Source organism: Homo sapiens, chromosome 5 (assembly GCF_000001405.40).
Source record: "Homo sapiens chromosome 5, GRCh38.p14 Primary Assembly".
NCBI lineage: Eukaryota > Metazoa > Chordata > Mammalia > Primates > Hominidae > Homo > Homo sapiens.
The window spans coordinates 37,840,205-37,862,584 of NC_000005.10; the positions used below are offsets into that span (position 1 = coordinate 37,840,205).

Consider the following 22,380-nt stretch of genomic DNA (forward strand, 5'->3'; position numbering starts at 1 on the left):
GCGAGTGGGCGACGCGAGGCGCCCCTCCCTGGGCTGCAGGGAGAGCGCTGAGAGCGCGGAGACGCCGCGGGGCTAGCGCCTTCTCCTCTCCGGGTGGATCAAAAATCGAGAGGAATGTGCGGCGCTCTGCGCGGGCCAGCCGAAAGGGGCAATCCGAACTTGACCGCGGCGCCCGCGCCGGGCTTTGCCCCCGCGCGCCGCACTGGGAGGGTGGCGCTCTGCCGGTGCAGGGCAGCGCCGGGCTTTCCTCGCGCCTGTCGAAGGCCGGCCTTCCCGCTCGGGTGTCTCGCCCTCTCGCTTCTCCGCAGGGCAGGAGGCAGTGGCGAGAAAAGGAGCTGCCGGCCGGAGTTCTAGCACCGAGAAGGAGAGGTGCGGAGCGGCCGGGTGAGGGAAGCCGAGTATTTGCCAGGGGACGCTGCGAGTGGGGATGAATTTATAGGGCTCTCACTCCGTGACGTGCCCTCCAGTGGCTTTTCTGATTCGCTTTCTGACCTAAACACACATTAGTTTAGTCCCCATGCTAAGGCCAACACGGTCTCCAAATATCTGCTGGCTGAAGTCAGAGGCTTTGCATATCATGTATTACATGGCAGGCAATGAAGAAGGCTTCTGAGGCTGGCCGGCTCCTCAGTCCTAGGCTCCATTTTCATGCTGTTGTAATCTAATACCAGACATGGGGCAGGCACATACATTCAAAATCCCAATTCCAGAGGCGTAAGATCACTTTATCAGGAACGGGTTAGGGGAGGTTGAGCTAAACCTGCTTTTATCCAGATTTTCGAAAATGCAGATGGGAAACTTCAGCAAGCGCCCACTTGGATGCTGAGTTTCCAGCGATCAGGGGCCCGGCCCCCATTCCAGAGCTCTGTGGATGGGAGAGGTGAGACCTTCTGGGCATTCCTTTTGTTGGTTAGTTCACCACCAGAAGCTGCCTGAGCCTTCTTTTGTAGAGGACAGGAGGAGGGCAAGTCCTTACACACCCTGTGCATGGCTATAACCATAAATACATTTCATTCACATGGGGCATGGAATTGGCTGTACCTCTAAAATAATGTACTAAATAGGGCATGTCTTTGCTAAGCAGAAACCTGTTTTCCGGAAGCCATTGGACCTGAATTCAGTGGGACCTCTTTTATTTTATTAGCTGGGGCCAGGGAAAGTGTAAACAGGCTCAGTTTACGTCCATGTACCTCTTATTTTATGACTCATCCGGTTGTTGGGGAGTATGTGTTCTTCAAGTAGCTGATACAGACAATAGGCAGGGGAAATGCGTGTGGCAGTGTGGGGGGAAGATCATGTATTATTAAACTTCTTAAAAGTCAAAGATCAGCTACTTTGCAGGTTTGTCAGTGAAGCGAGTGTGGGAGGAAAATTGTTCTTACTAACGTTGCTGTGATTTAAGATTAAGCGAAGTGAAAATCGAGTCATCAAAACATACCTTAGCTGAAATTAGGATGCTCTCTGGAGTTCTGCAGAAAATGACATTTCCCTCTTTGATAGATTTATGGTAGAAATGTAGTTAGATTCAGAAATTAGAGGGCAGAATAAGCTTAATATATTTATTGCCGTTTAGCATTGTTTTTGGAATTTGAAGACGACCCTCATCAATGTTCTTACTCTGAATGATTTCTTTATTTTTAGAGGGCTTTTTGCTGGGGATGATCAGCCCGTCCAAGCACCTGCAAATATCTAGCACTTGCTGTGTGCCAGGCAAAGTGCTAGGCCCTGGGCATTGTGCTGATTGGGCTTTTTTTTTGGGCGGGGGGCGGGGGTTGCAAGGAACAGATACCACTGAGGTTTACCCTCAGTAATGGGAATTTACTGTGGAAGGAAGGCTGACCGGAATCTCCACCATTCCGCCACGTGTCTCCGAAAAGCCTTCCGGAAAGGCCACCCAGCCAGGCCTCATGAAAACTGGATTGAAGTTCAGGAACTGGAAGGTCATTCAGGATACAGCTCTGTGACTGGGTTATCTCGCTGCCCCCTCAGCAGCAGGCATCTGCCGATCCCCACTAACGGCTTAGCCGCCAAGGTGATTCAGCTCCTCTCTCGCTGTTTTCCCCTGGGTGTCCTTTGGCTTCTGCTCCTGCTACCAACTGCTCAGCTCTCAGTTGATCTCACATTTAAACTCCTTTAGTGAAAGGATCTAGTTTGTCCTGCTAGGGATTCACCAGGGGTGAGAGTTGGACTGAGCCTTTGTATCAGTCTCCTTACAGGTTGCAAAACACCCTGTATATCCGCAGACCTGGGGGCAGGTGCCTATCCTGGGCCAATCATTCATGTCCAGGTTGTTGGCATCACAGAGTACACAGCCTGGCCACCTTTGCTTGAGATACTTCCTAGAGTTCCTCCCCACATTCCCTCCACAGAGGATGGTCCCTCAGAAGGAGGTGGGTTAATGGTAGGCACTTTGGGTTTTGACAGTCCTCTCCCAGCCCTTCAGAAACTACCACTACAGAGAGGGAGATATGCTCATGAGTATTGATGGTATAAAGTGATAAATACTCCAACAGAAGTATATATGAGACTCATGTCCTGGAGTCTGATTTTCACATGGCCAGTGAAACACTGGGGAGATTTCAAAAAATACCCAGACCTGTAGGCTGGAAGTGGTGGTGGCTCACACCCGTAATCCCAGCACTTTGGGAGGCTGAGGTGGGTGGATCACTTGGGGTCAGGAGTTTGAGATCAGCCTGGCCAACATGGCGAAACCCAGTCTCTACTAAAAATAGAAAAATTAGCTGGTTGTGGTGGTGGGCACCTGTAATCCCAGCTACTTGGGAGGTTGAGGCATGAGAATTGCTTGAACTTGAGAGGTGGAGATTACAGTGAGTAGTGATTGCACCACTGTACTCCAGCCTGGGTGACACAGTGGGACTCTGTCTCAAAAAAAAAAAAAAAAAAAAGTCCCAGACCTAGGCCTTGTTCAGGGCAATTAAATCAGAATCTCTTGAAGGGTGGAGCTCAGGAGTTGATTTTTCAGATGCTCCCAGGTTAGTGAATTGGCTTTATCTTTTCCCAGTGGTTGCAATCATCTTATGATTCTTTTTGAAAGCAAAATGAAGAAGCCCTATTTTGATAGGTTCTAAGACTAAGACTCTTCCAAAACATTAAATTCCTTTCAAAATACAAAGTATCTTAAAACAGTAATATAAAGGAAAATGTTAAATTTAATTTAGAATTAAAGCAAATATTTCTAATTTTGAAAGAACATTTATTTACATGGCTACAGCATACAGATGAATTCAGCAAAAGTTCCTTCTGAAGTGACTGCCTTGAATAGAGTTAAGATGGGAAGCAAACATTTGGTGTCTTGGGAACAAGGGGATGGCCTGATGTCACAGTCTCACGCCCCCATAAGCTGAAAGTAGGGAGCCCCACAGCTCCGAGGCTCCAGCTTCTCTGTTCTCAAGGAAACGGAATAGTTTGATTTGAAGCTGTTCCTCAGCGAAGTCCAGAAGGGAAGAATTTGCAGCACCGACTCTGCTCTCAATAGGCAGAACATCCTCTGATAAAGCAACAACAGCAACATACTGCTAAGGATTCTCACATTGTCCCCAGATCTCAGCTTTTTATCTAGGAAGCCCTGCCTGAGAATCAGAGAGAACAAACATTGTTCAAGCCTCCCATCTCCTCTTTGAGAAAAAAGGTTCGAAGCCCTGCTAATTTCCTATTTCATCGCTATCGTCCTCTTCACTGGGATTTCTTGTGAGTCTCTAACTGAAAGTTGTCTAAATGATCGGTGCAATTTGTGCCCAAGGATCTTACAGTCCTTGGGAAGAGAAAACACAACCATAAAATGATGAAAAATAATACAGGGTATTATAAGGTTATGGAACTCAAACTAGCCCTTGATTGGAGTAAGTAAGCAGAGAGGAGGTGGGGGTGAGGGGACATTCCAGGCTGGCTGAAAGGGTCGCTGGAGGAGACTGGATGCTAGGTACTGCCACATTCTTGCTCAGCCTCTGTGGCCCTGTAGGGCTGCAGCCTGTAGACGTGATGGGGTGGGTGGGTCAGCTTTTGGCCATTCACAGAGTCCTTGGCGAGCTCCCAGTGGGGCTTTGCAGCTGCTTTGACTATGAGGGCCAGGACCCCGGTCCCTGGACTGCCTCATAACTTGGGTCGTGAGGACTGAAACAGAATCCATCACTTAAGCAGAGCAATTTCCTTTTCAAAGTCACAGCTTTATTGGACTGCGATTTGTTCCATGCTTGCTTGCTTTTTAACAGCCATTTTCACGAATGATCCTATTACTCATGAAGGAAAGATAGATTTGCCTTCAGACCACTTAAAAAAAAGTGAAAAGAAAAAAAGAAAGGGGAAAAATTCACTGTAATGGCCTTTTTGCAAGTAGTGGGAAGTGACAAATTCTTTGGAGTAAATCGTTTCTCATAAGAAATCAATCCTGACATTGGCAAGGGAGATTTATCAGTGATTTCCAGCAGTTTCTTTCATTAGGATCAAATTGTCTCATTGTCCACTAATTTTGTTTTTGGCTCTTGAAATTACTTTGTGAAATTTCTCTTTTCCAGAGATAAAACTTCAATCAGGTGAGAGTGTTGCGGCAGACTTTCTTACTATGCAAATGGTCTGATGGCTTAGGTCTGGGGTTAGCAAACATTTTCTGTAAAGATAGTAAATATTTTAGGCTTTGCAGGCATACTGTCTCTGTTGCAACTTCTCAACTCTAGCCTTGTGTTGCAAGAGCACCCATAGATGATATGTAAATGATAATATAATTTTTTCCATGTTATGAAATACTTTTTTGATTTTTAAATGTAAAAACCATTCTTAGCTCATGGACCATACAAAAGCAGGCAGTGGACAAGATTTGACGCAAGGGCTATGATTTGCCGACTCCAGTATAGGTTAAAGTTATCACTTTGATGAGACTTATCAGTTCCAGAATTGGAAGGGACCTGAGACTTCTAGTCCAAGCTCCTCATCTTACAAGGGGAGAAAATGGAGGCAGAGAGTGGTTAAGTGACTTACCCAAGGCCACTCTGACAGTCTTACCATCCAAGTAAGTGTGCTATACAATTATTTCACTGGTTTTATATGTGTGTGTGTGTGTGTGTATGGAAGGGGGCACACGGGGAGTGTTCTGTCACCTTTCAAATTGTGATTTAGTATATTTTATTGAGGCAAGAAATGAGTCAAAATTCAGATAAATCAACTGGGATCTCTATTGGGGGCAGAGGTTAATGTCAGGCTGAATGGGGAGCAGAAATTTGAACAGAAGTTGATTGCTGCCTTTTGGAACAGCAAAACTCCCAGGCAGAGAGCAGAGCACTAAATACATTTTTTCCCCTTAAAAGGCCATGATGCTTCTGTAATTGGCTTTTAGACAGCCATCACAAAGGCACAGAGATAGATGGGGGTTGGGGGGAAGAGAGAGATTTGAGTGGGGAGTCAAGATACCAGTATCCTAATTCTTTTGTGGACCACCTAGTTCCTGTTGCACACTTTTGGAACCTTCCTAAAGAATGGGAATTCACAGTGGTCAGTTGACTCTGACAAGGATTCAGTATTTGGACCTTTATTTATTTATTTATTTATTTATTTATTTACTTATTTTTATAAAGAAAATAGGCTGGGCGTGGTGGCTCATGCCTGTAATCCCAGCACCTTGGGAGGCTGAGGCAGGCAGATTGCCTGAGGTCAAGAGTTTGAGACCAGCCTGGCCAACATGGTGAAACCCCATCTCTACTAAAAATACAAAAAAATTAGCTGCATGTGATGGCGTGCGGCTGTAATCCCAGCTATTCAGGAGGCTGAGGCAGGGGAATCGCTTGAATCAGGAAGGTGGAGGTTGCAGTGAGCTGAGATCATGCCACTGCACTCCAGCCTGGGCAACAGAGTGAGACTACGTCTCAAAAAAAAAAAAAAAAAGCAAAAAGAAAATAGAGATGGAATCTCCCTATATTGCCTAGGCTGGTCTGGAACTCCTGGGCTCAAGCTATCTTTCCACCTCACCTCCCAAAGTGCTGGGATAACAGATGTGAGCCACCGCCTCTGGCCAGTATTTGGATCTTTAAGCCAAAATATTCCAAGAGACCTCTATGCCATATATTAATTACGTAATAAACAGACTTCAATCTAGTCTCTTCTGCTCTTACCTAAAATACATGAATTGTTTGACTGTTTCCAAGAATGGCAACAGAGCAACATGACATCCACTCCTCTTTACTGTTACACTACCTCCTCCATTGCCTTCTCCATTTTTCCTCCATATGGGAACGCTAATTGATCAATTCATGAATCCTCAACAATTATTTATGGGTTTAATAGAAGCAAGCGGTGAATGCGAGTGTGGATTTTATGGTCCCTTGAGTGTTTCAAGCTAATACATATCTCACTGATGTAGCAGCAGGGCCAGGACTCAGGTGAAGACACTGAGTCACCTCTCTCACCTCATCCTAGTCCTGGCCCTGATTAGCAGAAACTTCAGGTTGACAGCCCCAAGTCCCACAGCCTCAAGTTGAGAGGAAGGCATGCCAGTGATCAGACAACTCAAGTTGGAGCTCTGCCCCTGAGAAGCTGTGGGAGCTTGGGAAACTTGTAGCCTCACCTATTTTTCTACCTATTTTTCTCTTCTTGCTCCTTCTCTCCCTCCCTGGGAATCTGTGTGAATAGATGAGATAATAAACCAGATTTTCTGAGTTCATAAGTTACTCCCTGGGAATAATTTATATTGCACAAATACTTTCCGGTCACTGGTGTATTATTTGGTAAATTACTGCCCTCCTGCAATGCTGTAAGTGGAACCCTAGTGACCTGAAAGAGTTAATGCCTCCCTGCAAGCAATTAACTTACTCCTGGGGCATAATTTACACTCTAAGAGGATCTGGCGGACCATATGTGAAGCGCTTGGAATTCTTTGAGAGAAAGGCAGCTCTAGAAATGTAAAGAATTAATATTACACCAGGTGAATTTGCAGACCTTTCTTCGAGCAGTCTATCATGTAACTTCCCAGAAAAGTCCTGTAAGGTAGGTCATTGTTATCCTTTCCAGAGGCATTCTCTAGCCAATGGTAAGTCAGCAGATAATATACCCAGCATGAGGTTAGGCAATACCTATTTGTAGAATGACTTCACTATTTGAAAAATAATGGGTGAAAGATTGGGAGGTACATTTTAGAAATCTGAGTAAAAAACAAAAGCTAAAGTTAAGATAATTGTAATAAGTATCTACTTTACAATCTTGAATAGTAGGAATGTGACCTAAATATAATGGGTCAATTTTCTATACTAACTCAGGGACACCAACATATTAGAATGTGGCATCTGTTTCAAAGTGGTCATCTGAGAAGACTATCTATATATCCTAATATGCACCTGTCACTTGAAACACTTTTATAACCTGCAAACACAATTGTCATCCATCCAACAAATATCATTTAGCCATCTCCCTTCATAAGGCCCTGTGTTGGCAGTTGCTGAGGGACAAAGAAAAAGTCATGAGACAGCATCTCTGTATTCAGGGATGGCAGTTCTCTGGGTTTTGAGGGTGGGGTGAATTTTGAGCAAAGATCAAACCGTCTGAAATCAATCCTAGTGAAAGAGGAGGGTTAAAACCAAGAGAAGATAATTTAGAGACTGCTCATGGCTCAGTGGTAAATTGCAACGATGGCCTCAGTTCTTCACTCTTCTCTGTATCTATGCTCTTTGCTATGTGATTCTGCAGTTCCTCTTGCTAAAGTGATGGTGTCTGTTTCCCCATCCTCTGAATCTGAAGGGGCATTGTGACTTGTCTTGGGCAGTAGAATGCAATGGTAGTGAGAGAGTGCCAGTTTTGAGCCAAGACTCACAAGGTAAACATGTGTCTGCTTCCTCTTTCAAAGCTATGCCATTGCCAGGAGAACATGCCTGGGCTAGCCTGCTGGAGGATGAGAGGCGTGTGGAACAGAGCAGTATTGCTCCATTTGTCACAGGCAAGGTCAGTTTAGATGAGCTGAGAGCCAACTGATTTCCCCTCCACTCTTCATCCCCAGACATGTAAATGAGCCTGTAAAGATCAACAGCGCTGCCTCTTCAACCAGTCTGGAATAAGCAAGGAAGGCTTATTGTATACCCGTGGGATTTTGTGGTTGTTATGCAGCAACATTATGGCAGTAGATCACTCACACAGCTTGTAAACTGATTCCAAAAGAGGAACTCTCAATGCTAAACAATCACAACATTTCTGGACTAAGTGACTGGTGTCTCCAGGTGACTACCAGGAGGCTGTAACATATGTTTGGAGAATAAATGTCCCAATGTTTATTGGGCATCCTTTCTCTGTTCTACTGCACTTCATACTTATTGTATGAAATTGCTTGTATGCATAGCCATGGCTACATTAGACCAAATGTTCTGTAAGGGAAGGAACAACATTTTAAATGTTCACCTCCTTAGTATCTGGCATATAACTACTTGTTAAATGAATGAAAAAATGAAGACTCTTATTAGAAGTCACACCTTGCATTGTGTGCTTTTAGTAACTTTGGTCTACTCATGATATGCGTTGGGTGTGTAATATGTAATCTTAAAAACTTAATTAATGCAATTACTTGACAAGATTATATATGCACATTACACCTTTCAAAAGGTGCAAAGGTATTTTCAGTGATAAGTGATTGTTTCTCTCATGCCATCTTCAAGCCATCCACTTCTCTGGTAACACAATTACCAGTTTCTTATCAATTCTCCCAGAGAATGTGTAATCATTAAAATGAAGCTATTGTCTAGGAAAGAAATAACATTTTCAGCCATTACTTTTTTATAAGTTGGCACATTTTACTATTCGTTTTCTTTTGGAGGCTGGACCAATTGGATGTAGCCCTTATGTTCTTTGCTAAAATGTTTTGAAAGCTGTTTCCCCAAGTTTGTTCCTTTAACATTTTTTTTAACTTTTAATTGACAAATGATAATTGTATGTATCTGTGGGGTATAACATGATGTTTTGATACATGTATACATTGTAGAATGATCAAATTAGGCTAAATAACATGCCCATCACCTCAGATACTTAACATTTCTTTGTGATGACAGCATTTAAAATAGTTCTTTTAGCTATTTTGAAATCTACAATACATCATTATTATTAATGGTAGTCACCATGCTGTGTAATAGATCACCAACTCCTTAGCTCCAGCCAAAACTTTGAATGCTTTGACCAACGTCTCCCCTTTCCCTCCTTTTTCCTCCCTCCCGCCGCCACTCCTCCTCCCCTGGCCTCTGGTAACCACCATTCTAGAAATTCAACTTCTATGAGTTTGACTTTTTTAGATTCCATTTTTGATTCAGCAACTTTCCTCAGGTTGTTTAAGGTTTAAATGCCGCTGGAATTCATGCAGCTGTTTGTTTCTTTGCCTGTGTACTTCTATCACATGAGCTGTTAGGCCAGCCCTGGGAGCCTGGTAATTACCACAGAGCGAGGCGGCAGAGGGAGCAGATAAACTTGAAACATTGGGCTCTCCAGGTGACAAGGATCAGGAGTTCTGAACCCCTAGAAAGAACCTCTATCATGGAGAACCCAGGCTCTCTATTCGATGACTATAGTGGGGTGAGTATAACTTGAATTTAAGACTCGTGAAAGAATCTTTGCAGACTGGCATGTTGTTTCTGTTTTACAACAATGCAAAGATTTATAAACTGGTGAAACCATGTTGGCCTGCTCTGGAATAAAGCTGGCATTGTATCTTTTAAGGCATGTTTTGGGGGTTCTATGAAGTGGCTTAAACCAAAGCCACAAGAACAAGAAAAAATTTATTTTGAGATAAATCTTCGTAGACTGCCGACTCCTAGAATTTATGTGCTAAAGATGCATACTTTATTCTTTTCTACAATTAAGTGGTTTAAAAATATTCTTCCTCATGGTTCACTGAATTTCAGGTTCAACTAATTTTTAACAAGCACAAAATATGTACTAGGTACTCTATTAAATATTCACATATATATTTTCTTATCTAGTGAAATGTAGTGTTCATTCAATATTATGTTAACAAAGATCAAAGCAAGAAAATGATTAAGAAATAAAATGACTTGTTTTATATCTGCTACATGGTTTGCATAATCTTAGTTTGTGTAACATGGTTGCTCATAATCTCCCTAGAGTGTCTTTTGTGGGTTTGATACCAGATTTAGCATGATTCATTTACATTCAGATGATGGCAAATCTCAGAGAAGAAAAACTGCAGCAGAGCATACATGGGATGTGAGTTTTTTTCTTTTTGATTGAGGGACTGTTTCATCAAAACATTGTTTCAAACAGATGTGTTCTAGTGTTTACTGAAAGGAGAATTCAAGCCAGACTGATTAATTAGCAGTTAGTCAAGCCATTTCCCTGCTCCTATCTGGGTAGTCTAGGGATTATGAAGCTGTCAGTAGGTTATAGTCAGACAATGGAAAAAAATGACAAACAGCAACTAAACCTCAGATCACCATGCTAGGGTGTAAAATACGGTGTTCTAACCACTCTGCATTGTTTTTTATTGGAGCATAAGTTTTTACGAGTGGGTGTAATAGGACTAAGGCAGAGGTTGGCAAACTTTTTCTGCAAAGGGCCTAATAGTAGATATTTTAGGCTTTGTGGGCCATACAGTAGTTTACAACTACTGACTGCTTTAATGCTGTAATTGCAGCACCTATGTAGGTGGGTCTCATTTTCAGAAAGGTCGGATTAAAAATCTAGACTTGCAAAACACAGATTAGAGGTCAAATAGTGCTGTAATTGCAGCACTAAAGCAGTCATAGACAATATGTTAACAAATGAGCATAGCTGTATTCCAATGTATCTTTACTTATGGACACTAAAATTTGAATTTCACATTTTTATGTGTCATGAAATAGTGCTCTTTTAATTTTTTTAGCTATTTAAAAAATGCAAAAAATGTTCTTAGTTCGCCAGTTGCACATTTGGACCATAGTTTGCCAACTCCTGGACTAAAGCAAAGAGTCTTGAATCAGTGTTAGGTCTGGTTCTTTTGATTTTTTTTTACATGAGATTCATTCTTTCTAAATCTGTTTCTGTATTTGTAAAAATGATGGATAATAATAGTTGCACTTATCTCTTCCCAGGATTGTTGGCAGGATTAAATAAAATAATGGCTTTAAAAGTATTTTGAAGAATGTGAAGTGCCATGCTGACATAAGATATTGATTATATTATTATTTGTGTCAGGAATGTGTTTGGTATAAGTAGCCCAGAGCTCGATTAACAACTGCTTAAGCTATAAAGACATTTGTAGTTCACTTACCTGGATGTACCAGTTCCCAGGGTTGGTGTAGTGGCTTGATGATGTCATTAAAGACCTGATGCTGCTGATGTCCCTGTGTTGGTGATGCCTCTTTTCATGGTGCAAGATGGATGTCATAACTCTCAAGAGTCATGTGCTTACAGGACAATGTCCCAAACAAGAAGGAAGCGGGGAATGGAGTGAAAAGAAATCTCCTTCTAGGCTTCTCTTTTTTTTTTTTTTTTTGAGACGGTGTCTTGCTCTGTCGCCCAGGCTGGAGTGCGGTGGTGCGATCTCGGCTCACTGCAAGCTCCGCCTCTCGGGTTTACCCCATTCTCCTGCCTCAGCCTCCCGAGTAACTGGGACTATAGGCACCGGCCGCCACGCCCGGCTAATTTTTTTTGTATTTTTAGTAGAGACAGGGTTTCACCGTGTTAGCCAGGATGGTCTCGGTCTCCTGACCTCGTGATCCGCCCGCCTCGGCCTCTCAAAGTGCTGGGATTACAGGCGTGAGCCACCGCGCCCAGCCTAGTCCTCTCCGATTAAGAGAGGAAAATCCTTCCTAGCATCCCCCTAGTAGGCTTCCCTTCACATACCATTGGTCAAAACTGGTTCACGTGCCTGTCCTAGACCAATCACTGGTGAAAGGAAGGAGGATTGATGTGCCTGGCTTGTAGACTAACCATGAATCAGCTTCTGGGACTGGGCACAATGCTGCCTGGACAGTTGGGGTTCTGCTAGCGAGGAAGAGGGAGGAGAAACTAATGATGTCATCACATTATTATTTTTTCCACCTATTACAAGTTGTGTGTCTGGCATCAGGTTGGGTGAAGAGTTGATGAGCTAATTTCCTGTGAATACTCTAGGTGCCATACAAGCTGTCCACATGGGCACATAACAGGCAAAGACCATGGTAGTCGGCTGGCAGGGTCAGGCTGCGAGTTGAGGCTGCATCAGGATGGAATCGACAATCAACCAGTACCCATCTCAGAAGGAAGCAGAAGAAGGGAGGAATCTGAAGGTCATCTGCATGTGGCTTCTGGAACATACTAGAGAGAACCAGTTTAATCCTCAAATATTCCACATGATAATAACATGCTCCACAGTCATTTTTCTGGGGAATCTCGTCATTGTAAAATCCAGAACTGTAGGTGCCTATATAGGTGGGTCTCATTTTCAGAAAGGTCGGATTAAAAATCTAGACCTGCAAAACACAGATTAGAGGTCAAATAGTCTGAAGTTTAAACTATTCTTCATTTTATGGAATAATTTATCTTAACATTTGTTTAGTGACATGATTGGTGCACTTTAAATGATTTTGTTGATGAATATATGATTTCCACATAGTTTATATAGTGTGTGTATACACACACATGCACACACCTATTGCATTGTATTGAGTTAGGTAGACCTATAAATTGATTAATTGAAAAATCATGAATAAAATCATCCTTTAGAATAAAATGTGCACTAATATGAACTTAATTAAACATCTCAGAGTTTTAGGGTACCATAGCAAATGACATTTCCCAAATAATTAAATACCTATTCCAAAAATGAAGTTATACACAAATTATACACTCTGTTCATACAGGTCAAATATTCAATGCATATATTCCCACATTGTGTAGGATATTGAACCAAAGGTCCCTCAAAACTCTAAGATTCTTTTATTATATAAGTGCCATTTGACCTTGAAGTTTTCTGTTTTCCTTAAATACTGCAACTTTATGATTACGGTAGAATTATCTTTATATCCAAGTTCCAAGCTCATAGCTCACAGTTCATTCATTCACCTATTCATTTATTTGTTCATTCATTTTTTAAGCTCGTATGTGGTCCCACTCTCATGGAATTTATGGCCTAGAAGAGATGAACGTTAAACATGTGTGTAATCATACTGATGAATACATAACCCCATGTAGCTTAGTGATCTGAAGAAAGGAACACTACACTATGTAAGGACATAATGAAGGAACCTGATCTTGACTGGCGATCAGAGAAAGCTTCTCTGAGGAAGCAATGCTTGAGCCGAGAACCAACATGTGAATAGGAGTTAATTAGATGAAAGACTATAAGTGAATTGGAAAGAGCATTCCTAAGAGAGGTACAGTGCGTGTGTTAGCCTACTCATCTGTCCGTCTGTCCATCCATGCATCCAAGCATCTGTGCATCCATCCATCCATCCATCCATCCATCCATCCATCCATCCATCCATCCATCCATCTAGTTTTACAAAACAGTACAGTACCAAGTGATCACAGAGATGCAAACAAGTAGAAATCATCTGTGTTTTCTAAGTCTGTAAGTCCATTTGGAAAGACTAGAGAAGTACACTGGTAAAAAAAAAATTCTTAGAAAATGTTCAGAGGCTATTTTAAGTAACAGTAGATGTGAGGCAATTTCAGCAGTTGCTCTCATTCTTATGGGAATGGGATTTGCAGCTCTCCTGGGTATCGACCTCACTCTACTTTTTCCCCATGAGAAGGGTGCAGAGTGTAGAGGATAAGACTCAGGTGCTAGCAGCATAACCATGCTTCCATGGGAACTGCAATTTGCCATTAAACAAATGAAGAAAAATCTTGCATTAACAAAGGAATTTGTTTAATTTGACAATGAATTACTTTTTTTCTAGTGCTTTTAGGATTAACCAAAAAGCAAAATTCTTTTTTTTAAAAAATGGGATTTAAATTAGTATCTATTCTACATAGACTTAATCATCTCATTGTGACTTCCCTGAATATGGTTGCTTATATCGAAATCGGGGTAGTTTGGGGCTCACTTGTAGCGATTAGCAAATTATCCATTTGCATTTCTTATCAGGTTAATGGTAAATGTTCCACTGAGTTCACAGAATCTTGGCATTAAATTTATAAGTGGAATTGAGCTTAGAGGTCAATCAATCTAGTATAACTCTCATTTTACACAAGAAGAAATTGAAAGCCAAATAGGTTAAGTGACTTGTTCAAGCCACTTAAAAATTTATGTCCCAATTCACTCCATAGACTTTTGTGATGGCTGTATAAGTAAACACTGGATCTAGGATCTTCTAACTCTAGGTTCAGTATAAGGGGCTTTGGAGTGTAATTCTCTGCACTCAAATCCCTGCCATTTACTAGTCTTGTGACTTTGGAAAAATTATTTACAGTCTTATCATCTATAAAAGAGGATAATAATTGTACCCCTGTCACTGTATTGTGAAGACTAAAATGCGTGAGAAGAGCCACGCTTGCAGTAAATGCTCAGTAAGTGCTTTGCCATGTGTCTTGCTTTGGTCAATAGGAAGGACGGAAGTGACTGTGTGTCAGTTTTGAGTGAGACTTCAATAGGCATGGCAAGTTTCTTCTGCCCTTTTGTGCTCCTGGACTCAACCATGTCCTGGGAAGTCACTCATCTTAGAGAAAAGAGACATGAAACAAATCTGAACTATTATGACTGATGTCACCATGAACATTCTTGAACAAGTCTTTTTTTTGTGGACATATACATTCATTTTCTTCAAGTATTAACCTAGGAGTGGAATTACATTAAAAGGGGCCAAACAGTTTTCCAAAGTGGTTGTACCATTCTGTACTCTCACCAGCAATGTATGAGGGGCCCAGTTGCTCTACATCCTCACCAGTGCTTAATATTGTCAGTCTTTTTAATTTTATCCACTGTGGTGGGTGTTTGATTGTATCTCATTGTTGGTAGCCTACTGAGTTGAAAAAAGTTTCTTGTTTATTTGAAGATTTCTAATACTAGCTTCTAGGTCCTCCGTTTCACCCTCAAGGAGGGCTGCATGAAGTTTGACTAAGCCCAGACCCAGTCTTGTCACTCAGCCTTCCTGGTCTATGCTACCAATTGAAATTAGCCAGGCCAAGTAGCACATAGCCCAGAAACACCCAGCCAGTTCACTGGGTATTTATTGAACCTCCCAGGTGGCTTAGAGGCCACTGCTTAGAGGCCAAAGCTCAGCTCTCCTAAGTGGCAAATGTATCTGTGAATGTGATGTAGAGGTATTGAAGATCTTTCCTATACTTTCCATGTATTTAATGAACAGCAAAAATTCTTACATTTTGGTAGACTAAAATCACATTGTTCTTTTGTAGCTCACAGAGGAAAAGCCTACTCAGGACTTTGCCTGGGATGGACAGCGTGGAGATGTTATGGTAGTTGCTACAATAAACTTTCTAAATCTTTTGTCTTTCTGGTCCCCTTTCTACTTTCTATTTCTACTTTCCCCTTCTTCCTGTTTTCTCTCTTCTTTTTCTCCTCCCCTCCCTTTTTATTTCTTCTTCCTGGTTCTTCTTTCATCAGCTGAACAAGAGTTTAACAAACATCTGAACACATACAAAATCATCAGAAAAACGCAAGTTTCTGGAACATCGATATCTGCCCTAATCTTTTCTGAATTTAATGTAGAACTGATTTATATCATATGGAATTTTAATATGTATATTACTGATTTCTACTTTGTCTTGTTATTATTACTTCCTATAGTTCTTTCCACATTTCTAGATAACCCTAATAATTGTGATTCTTAATGGCAATAGAGTAGTTCATTGCATTATCACACCAGCCTGCTGAGCCATTTCACCAAACCAATATGCAATATTCTGTTGTATGAATGTAGCCATATTTATTTGACCCATTCCCTTTTATTAGACATTTATGTTACTTTCAGTTTGTAGTATTAATAATAATGCTACAGAAAACATCTATAAAACATAAAAACACTTTAGGCTGGAGATGGTGGCTCACACCTGTAATCCCTGTACTTTGGGAGGCTGAGGCAGGAGGATTATTGGAGCCCAGGAGTTTGGGACTATCCTGGGTCAACATGGCAAAACCCCATCTCTACAAAAAAAATACAAAAATTAGCCAGGTGTGGTGGTGGGCACCCATAGCCCCAGCTACTTGAGAGGCTGAAGTGGGCTATGTTTGACCCTAGGAGGTTGAGGCTGTCGAGGCCTCAATGGCACTGGCACTCCAGCTTGGCCTACAGAGCGAGACGCTGTCTTAAAAAAAAAAGAGGAAGACAATATGCTTTTACATAAACCTTTATTTGCATTTCTGCTTATTTTCTTAGGATTGATTTCTAGATGTAGAATTTCTGAGTCAAAGTGTGATAAACCTTTTAAATGTTCTTTGCCACCTAGCCAATAATATTTCAGGAAAGCCCAATGAACTTTGTTCTTAAAATTAATATATGAGAATGCCTACTTCATGGGAAATGAAAACATTTTGAAAATATTGTATAATTAACAAAATCTTTATTTTTTAAAATTACAAAGCAACACCTATCACCTCTCTGCTGTCAAAATTCAATCTTAATAGAAATGCATGATTATTTCTTTAGATGTTGGGATGAAAGCTGGATTATGTTTTGGGACTTGCCCTCTACTTTGCAGGTTTTACAGGCAGTGGTAGATGCTGTTGAGTCAGGATCTGAGGACAGTCAGTGACAGTAGTAGGATTTTTCAGTGTGTCTTTTTCAGCAGCAGTCAATTGGTAGGTCTTCTCCCGTCCTCCCTTCTTGGTGGTCATTAGCACTGTTCTTCAAATCTTTCTGGATCTTTGACTTTCAGGCACAGAGTAGGATTTCACTTCCTGGCCCCCTTGTCATTGGGTGACTGGTGGCTGGGCCATGTGACCAGTTCTGGGCAATAAGATATGAGTGGAGATGCTGTGTGTCACCATTAGATCAAACATTTAATTGCTGGTTCAAGGCTGTGCAGAGCTTTCTTTCCCTCCCCTATATGCCCAGCAATGTAGGAATTGGTGGCCACTTCCTCAGCCTGAGTTTTGGAGTAAGGAGTAAGGAGTGGTCCCACCCTCCATCTCCCCCCGACCCCCCCACCCTGCACTGACCTGAGATGGACATGTAGTAGAGTGAGAAAGATGCCTTTTTTTTTTGTTTGTTTGTTTGCCATTGAGATTTTGGGGAATGGTTATTACCCCAGTACAAGCCAACCTGTTCTGACTGTTATTCCTTCTCCTGTTTCCCTTCCTTCCAACATGTATGGCTAACACACCCCTATCTATCCTATAGTCATAAAGCCTTTGCCATGAGCCTGATGGTTGAGAGTCAACAGAAATAGACTTGAAGCTCATATGTTACATAGCTGATATAAAATGCTTATTATCTACAGTTACCACTTAATTTTATAAACTACATATGACATTAAACAAAAAAGAAGTACTTTTGTTTATTCAGAAAGGTACAAAAGCAATTAGACTGTTGGTTGCAGGACAGGAAGGCAGGGTGCAGGGAGTAGGTGATGCTGGCCAGCTCACAGAGAAACCAATGTCTCACCAGGCTGGGCTGTAGCTGCTCTAGCCTGTAGCTTCAAGCTTCCCAAAGTAGTACAAAAAGGCTTAGGCCTTTATAACTTGAAAACCATTGAAAGAGTTTTCCTCCATGTGCACAGATAGGCAGGGTGTGTGTGTGTCTCTGTGTGTGTGGGTGTGAGAGAGAGAGAGAGAGAAAGAAAGAGAGAGAGAAAGAGAGAGAGAGAGATTGTGAAGAAACTATTTGCCAGTGGAAAATTATGCCCCCTTTTAAACAAGCTGAAAATATCTTGATATAAGGCAGTGTGGTCTTGCTCCCATGTTTACAGAGGAATCCTTTCATGCAGCCATGATGTATGGAGGATTTAAACCATCGAGATCCTTTATGCTAACAGACCATTTGTCTTGGATTTTCCAGGTTTCCAGATTGTCTTCAAGGAGTACATCATTGACTCTGAAATTAGCTGTTGTGTGGACAGATATATTACAAGTCTCTAAATTATCATGTTGCAGGAACTTGTCATTCTAACACTTTAATGGAGTCTAGCTCTGTGTCAGCCCTCCCTCTGTCCTGAGACTTTGTCACATGGTTAATTCAGATGTCAGTGTCTCTGCCCCACTTCCTTGCTTTTCATTAGGATCAACATTTCCAACTCCTGTTTTCTAGTTATCTTTCTTTTTGTTTCTGTGATATTTTCAAACCTGGGATTTTCCCTTAAGGGAAAAGTGGGTCTTTTGCTTGGGAAGCATGCTTGTCTTCCCCAGTTGCACTCCAGGGCCCTTTATTAGTGCACTTTTAGACTTTTGGGGAACTAAAACCTTTTGGTTGCTGAATTGTGTGTGTCCCCTACCATCACAGAAAAGAAAGAATGTGTGTTCTTTCTCTTTTAAAGTCAGTTAAAGTCTTGTCTAGAGAATGCTTGAGGACTTCCCTGAAGGATGCCTCAGGATGGCACTAACTCACCAGATGTAGGCACGCTGGGATGAACATCTTTCTCCTTCCGGAAGGCTTTCCTTCTAGTCCAGTGGCTCTAGTAGTTTATCATCTGCATCAGAATCACCAGGGTGGTTGTTATTGTGCAGATTCTTGGGTTATATCCTAGACCCACTGAGTGTGAGCCTTTTAGGGCTGGGACCCAGGAATCAGCATTGTAACAGGCAACCCAGGTTTTGGAGCCCTGCCTCCTGGCAGATCTCTCACTGTCTGCAGAGCATCTCCTAAATAAGCATCTCACTTCACCTACAACAAAGCCACTGACTCCACTGTCTCCACAAGGCCTGGAGGGAAGGAAGATGGCTCCCTGTCTCTTCTTCCAAAACTTTCCTTTGGAGCTGGGCCTGGTGTCCTCGAATGAGAGGGACTTGCAGGAAAGCCAGTGAACAAGACTTAGGAAATGCACAAGGAATGAAACATGGAGATATCAGAGCCTCTTCTGGCCAGGGATGGTGGAACACCATGTAGTTTTTTCTACAAGCACCACGTAGTTTTTTCACGCATTAGTCCTCAAATATTTATTATGTGCTTACCATGTGCCAGGCACCACTCTAGGCGCATTCTGTCCAACCTTGCATTTCCCATCGTTTTGTCAGATAGGAGAAATGAAGCTGAAATTTAAGTCCCAAATTATCACCAAATAGGCAGGACCAGCAAAATAATTAGGAGACAAATTTCTGCCTTTTTCTGTGTGTGTGTGTGTGTGTGTGTGTGTGTGTGTGTGTTGTATGTGTGCCTCTGTGTGCTTTTGTGTCACACATACTCATGTGGGTTAGATTTTACTAAATAGCTTGTGTTTTCCAAGCATATGTATATACTTTATTCATTTTATTACTTCATATGAGCATTTGTTTATTCATTTAGTAAATAGCCATTCATTCATTCATTCATCTAATATCTATAGTAGGTCTTCTGTGTGCCAGTCTAATTAGTAGGTACTAGGGATACAATGATGAGCCAGACCAAGTTCTTGCCCTCATGGAGCTTTTATGTCAGAGTAGACGATGCTCTTGTATGCCTTATTGAATACCTAGATTTCCTTTTCTGTAGGGATCATCGTTTCAACAGATTGCCAAGTAGAGCCCAGGAGCCCTGCCCCGTGCTTTCCTCCTTCCTGGTTTCACAATGTCCTTTTCAGCAAAGATGCCTTTCCAGACATTTCTTTACATGTCTGAAATATTTATATACAAAACTGGGGAAGATGAATTAAAAGTGTGAACTCTACATGGCACTGAAGTCTAAAGAGGAAGTGAAGCTGTTCAGCTGTGGGTTTTGACTGGTTATCACTGGGAAACCCCTTTCAAGCAAAACCTTCATGGGGCAACACACTTCAAAGAGGTTCCCGGTCATGCTGTGTTTAAAACTTGTTAATTGGACCTAATTGCGAACAGCTGCTCAGTTTAGCCACTGTTTGGGTTGGCATTCACCTACGATAGATCTAGGTCATCTTTTTGTTACATTATATTCATATTGGTATCGTAATATATTTGTTATAATCTTAGAATTTGTCACCATCCAAAGGATTGTGAGATAATAAATAAAAACACGGAGACAACATGTTTGTCAAGCCCTGAGGTCACAGCCAAGTACAAAAGCACTTGGGAGCAGATGCCTATTTGATACACTGTGTGTAGTCATGGCACTTCACTCACACACATGGGAAGATTTCCAACAACAACAACAAATCCGTGGTGTTTACTGGAAGCACTGAATGATCTTTTATTGTCCATTTCTTGTTCATTTAACTATTGCCTTTTAGTGCCATACATCGCAGGAACAAGGGGGACACTAATAAATAGTAGTTTATTAGGTGAAATTGCTATTGGATCTAGTCTGATATAATATTCATGTTTCCTAAGAATCACTTGGGGGAACAACTTATTGGTTAAATGTGAAGGGGTGATTTGGAAAATATTTAACAAGTGATAAGGCACGAGCACTGAGCAATTAGAAGGAATACTGGCTGTAGTAACTGGCATGGCCATACTCAGGCATACTTGTTGTGTAGCAACCAAAGTGTCTATTATCAAGCAAGTTATCACTAAGGGTAACTAGAACATGATCCTGCTGGGATTCAGTGTAGAACATGCCCCTCATAGTTATCTTACTCTAGGAGTAAGAGAGCCAGGGTTTTCTACCAGCTCCTGCCCATCATTGGTTGAAGGCAGTCCTGCCATGCAAGTGGCTTAGTGGGCTCTGGAGGTCTGAGGATGCCTTTATGCAAAGAAATGCTGGTTTGGCAACTGGAAGTCAGACTACTGAGTACTGAAGTGATGAGTGCCTAGGGGTATGGGTGGGCACCAGCAGCACCTGCTATGGTGGTAGGGGGGCATTTGAGGATGTTGGTGGGGCTGATCATGAAATATTTCTCTCTCTGCATTAGCCATGTCAGTAGAAATAGCCTCCTTGAGGTTATTTGAAACAAATTGATACTCACATTACATCTTATAAATTAAATGGGATTGAGGGAGTGGAGCATTTAATGAAAATGGTGATGGTCTTGAGAACAGTGTAAGCAGTTAATACTAATTTGTTCTCCTATGTGATAAGCGTGGCTTCTCCTTTTTCCAGATGAGGACATTGAGGATCAGAGATGTTGAAAAACTTGCCCAAGGATGCACAAGTGGAATGGTAAAGACAGGATTTGAATTCTGACCTCTCTGACTCCGTGTCACAAACTCCTGAAAGTGTGAAAGGTTTAACACAAATTCCTTCCCCGCTCTTTCTCTCTCTCCCTCCCCCCTCCAACTTTTCCCTTTCAACAAATATTTGAAAACTTACTATGTACTGGGCACTATTTTAAGCACCACATAGCAAAGAAACAATTTTGGTCCTTTTTGATCCTGATGATCCCCCATCCCTCCCTTAAATGTTTTTCCTTCCCCAGGTCCTTCCCTAACTTTTGTGGGGCCCTGCAAGTGTAAAAACAGAGGCTCATATACCATACCTAAATATTTAAAAGTGATAAATCAAGCTGGCAAAGTGTTAAATAAAAGATGCTCCATCCTCCTGCCTTGATAAAGACACTTGTGCACAAGGGCTGCTGTGCACTGAGCATCTGTGGGTTTTGGAGCACCATGGAGGAATGTGGTGGCTCAGAGGGTGTGGACATTTAGCCCATGGCCTGTGGCCTGTCCCTCATTTCTTCCCACCCTGGCAGTCCACATAAGGGGGTGGTACACATATGTGTGTGGACATCCTAGCCTACACATCCAAGCTGTATCCCACAAACAGCACCTCATGGCTTAGGGGTGTGTGCACTGGCGGTGTGACCTGCCGTGGAGAGAAAAGGCCTGGGGAAAGCTCTGGAAGTGGACTTAAGACCACTTGGACAGGGGATTCAAGGTCTCTCGTAGCCAAGACATAGTCTGAAAGAGGAGAGGCAGGCTGCAGCCTCCAGGTGGGTACATCTCTGTGCCCCTCAACTCTTCACTCCATAGGAAAGGGCACAACCAGAGGAGTACTGTGGGTGCCCCTTTCCTGGGCCTAAGAGTAACAGCGCTCCTCCCCGTTCTATTTTGTCTTCCAAATCCCACGTTCACATGTGGATATTTTTTGAGATTTGGCCATCTGAGGATTTTTATAAAGGAAAATGTGGAATTCAAACACTCTACTTGTTTAACAGAGAGCAGGTCCATTGAGGTGGGCAGATGTTAGATGTTACTGGAAGTGGAGGAATGGGATTTTGGAGAGACCCGCTGGCCTCTCTGGAGCTACATGGACTTCCCTGCATTCAGCAGCCCTAGTCTACAGAGGGAGAAGCTAGGCTACCCCGGCCTTCTGTCTTGAGACCTTGATGGGTTCATCCCAAACCTCGGGAAGTGGATGCAGTTTAGCAGGATCAGCTCTGCGCCCTGTTCACTTCTCCAGCCATGAGGACTGCAGCTCTGGATAG

At 42.2% G+C, this 22,380-nt stretch overlaps 1 long non-coding RNA gene across 2 annotated transcripts in view, besides 7 other annotated features; it reads left to right on the plus strand.

Annotated features, from left to right (window-relative positions):
* Positions 1 to 22,380, plus strand: part of GDNF-AS1 (GDNF antisense RNA 1) — a 35,916-nt gene that overhangs the window by 321 nt on the left and 13,215 nt on the right. Inside the window, exon 1 of one of the 2 annotated variants that reach the window (NR_103441.2) lies at positions 234 to 369. The exons of the other annotated variant lie outside the window; for it this stretch is intronic. This is a non-coding gene — a long non-coding RNA (GDNF antisense RNA 1). Of the gene's footprint in view, positions 1 to 233; positions 370 to 22,380 lie in introns of those variants that run through there. 2 annotated transcript variants of the gene reach the window in all.
* Positions 7,284 to 8,483: an enhancer, noted in NCBI's record as "MED14-independent group 3 enhancer chr5:37847590-37848789 (GRCh37/hg19 assembly coordinates)". NCBI's record gives its function as "activates an origin of replication core promoter dependent on BRD2, BRD4, P300/CBP and CDK7 cofactors, and independent of MED14, by STARR-seq in HCT116 cells {active_cell/tissue: HCT116}" and the evidence as "EXISTENCE:reporter gene assay evidence [ECO:0000049][PMID:35650434]".
* Positions 7,284 to 8,501: a biological region, named in NCBI's record as "MED14-independent group 3 enhancer GRCh37_chr5:37847590-37848789".
* Positions 7,500 to 8,000: an enhancer, noted in NCBI's record as "H3K4me1 hESC enhancer chr5:37847806-37848306 (GRCh37/hg19 assembly coordinates)". NCBI's record gives its function as "activates a minimal SCP1, AML or CMV promoter by ChIP-STARR-seq in naive and primed H9 embryonic stem cells {active_cell/tissue: H9 hESC(naive and primed)}" and the evidence as "EXISTENCE:reporter gene assay evidence [ECO:0000049][PMID:30033119]".
* Positions 7,808 to 7,937: an enhancer, noted in NCBI's record as "active region_22491". NCBI's record gives its function as "activates an Ori minimal core promoter by ATAC-STARR-seq in GM12878 lymphoblastoid cells {active_cell/tissue: GM12878}" and the evidence as "EXISTENCE:reporter gene assay evidence [ECO:0000049][PMID:35858748]".
* Positions 8,001 to 8,501: an enhancer, noted in NCBI's record as "H3K4me1 hESC enhancer chr5:37848307-37848807 (GRCh37/hg19 assembly coordinates)". NCBI's record gives its function as "activates a minimal SCP1, AML or CMV promoter by ChIP-STARR-seq in primed H9 embryonic stem cells {active_cell/tissue: H9 hESC(primed)}" and the evidence as "EXISTENCE:reporter gene assay evidence [ECO:0000049][PMID:30033119]".
* Positions 19,615 to 19,674: an enhancer, noted in NCBI's record as "active region_22492". NCBI's record gives its function as "activates an Ori minimal core promoter by ATAC-STARR-seq in GM12878 lymphoblastoid cells {active_cell/tissue: GM12878}" and the evidence as "EXISTENCE:reporter gene assay evidence [ECO:0000049][PMID:35858748]".
* Positions 19,705 to 19,754: an enhancer, noted in NCBI's record as "active region_22493". NCBI's record gives its function as "activates an Ori minimal core promoter by ATAC-STARR-seq in GM12878 lymphoblastoid cells {active_cell/tissue: GM12878}" and the evidence as "EXISTENCE:reporter gene assay evidence [ECO:0000049][PMID:35858748]".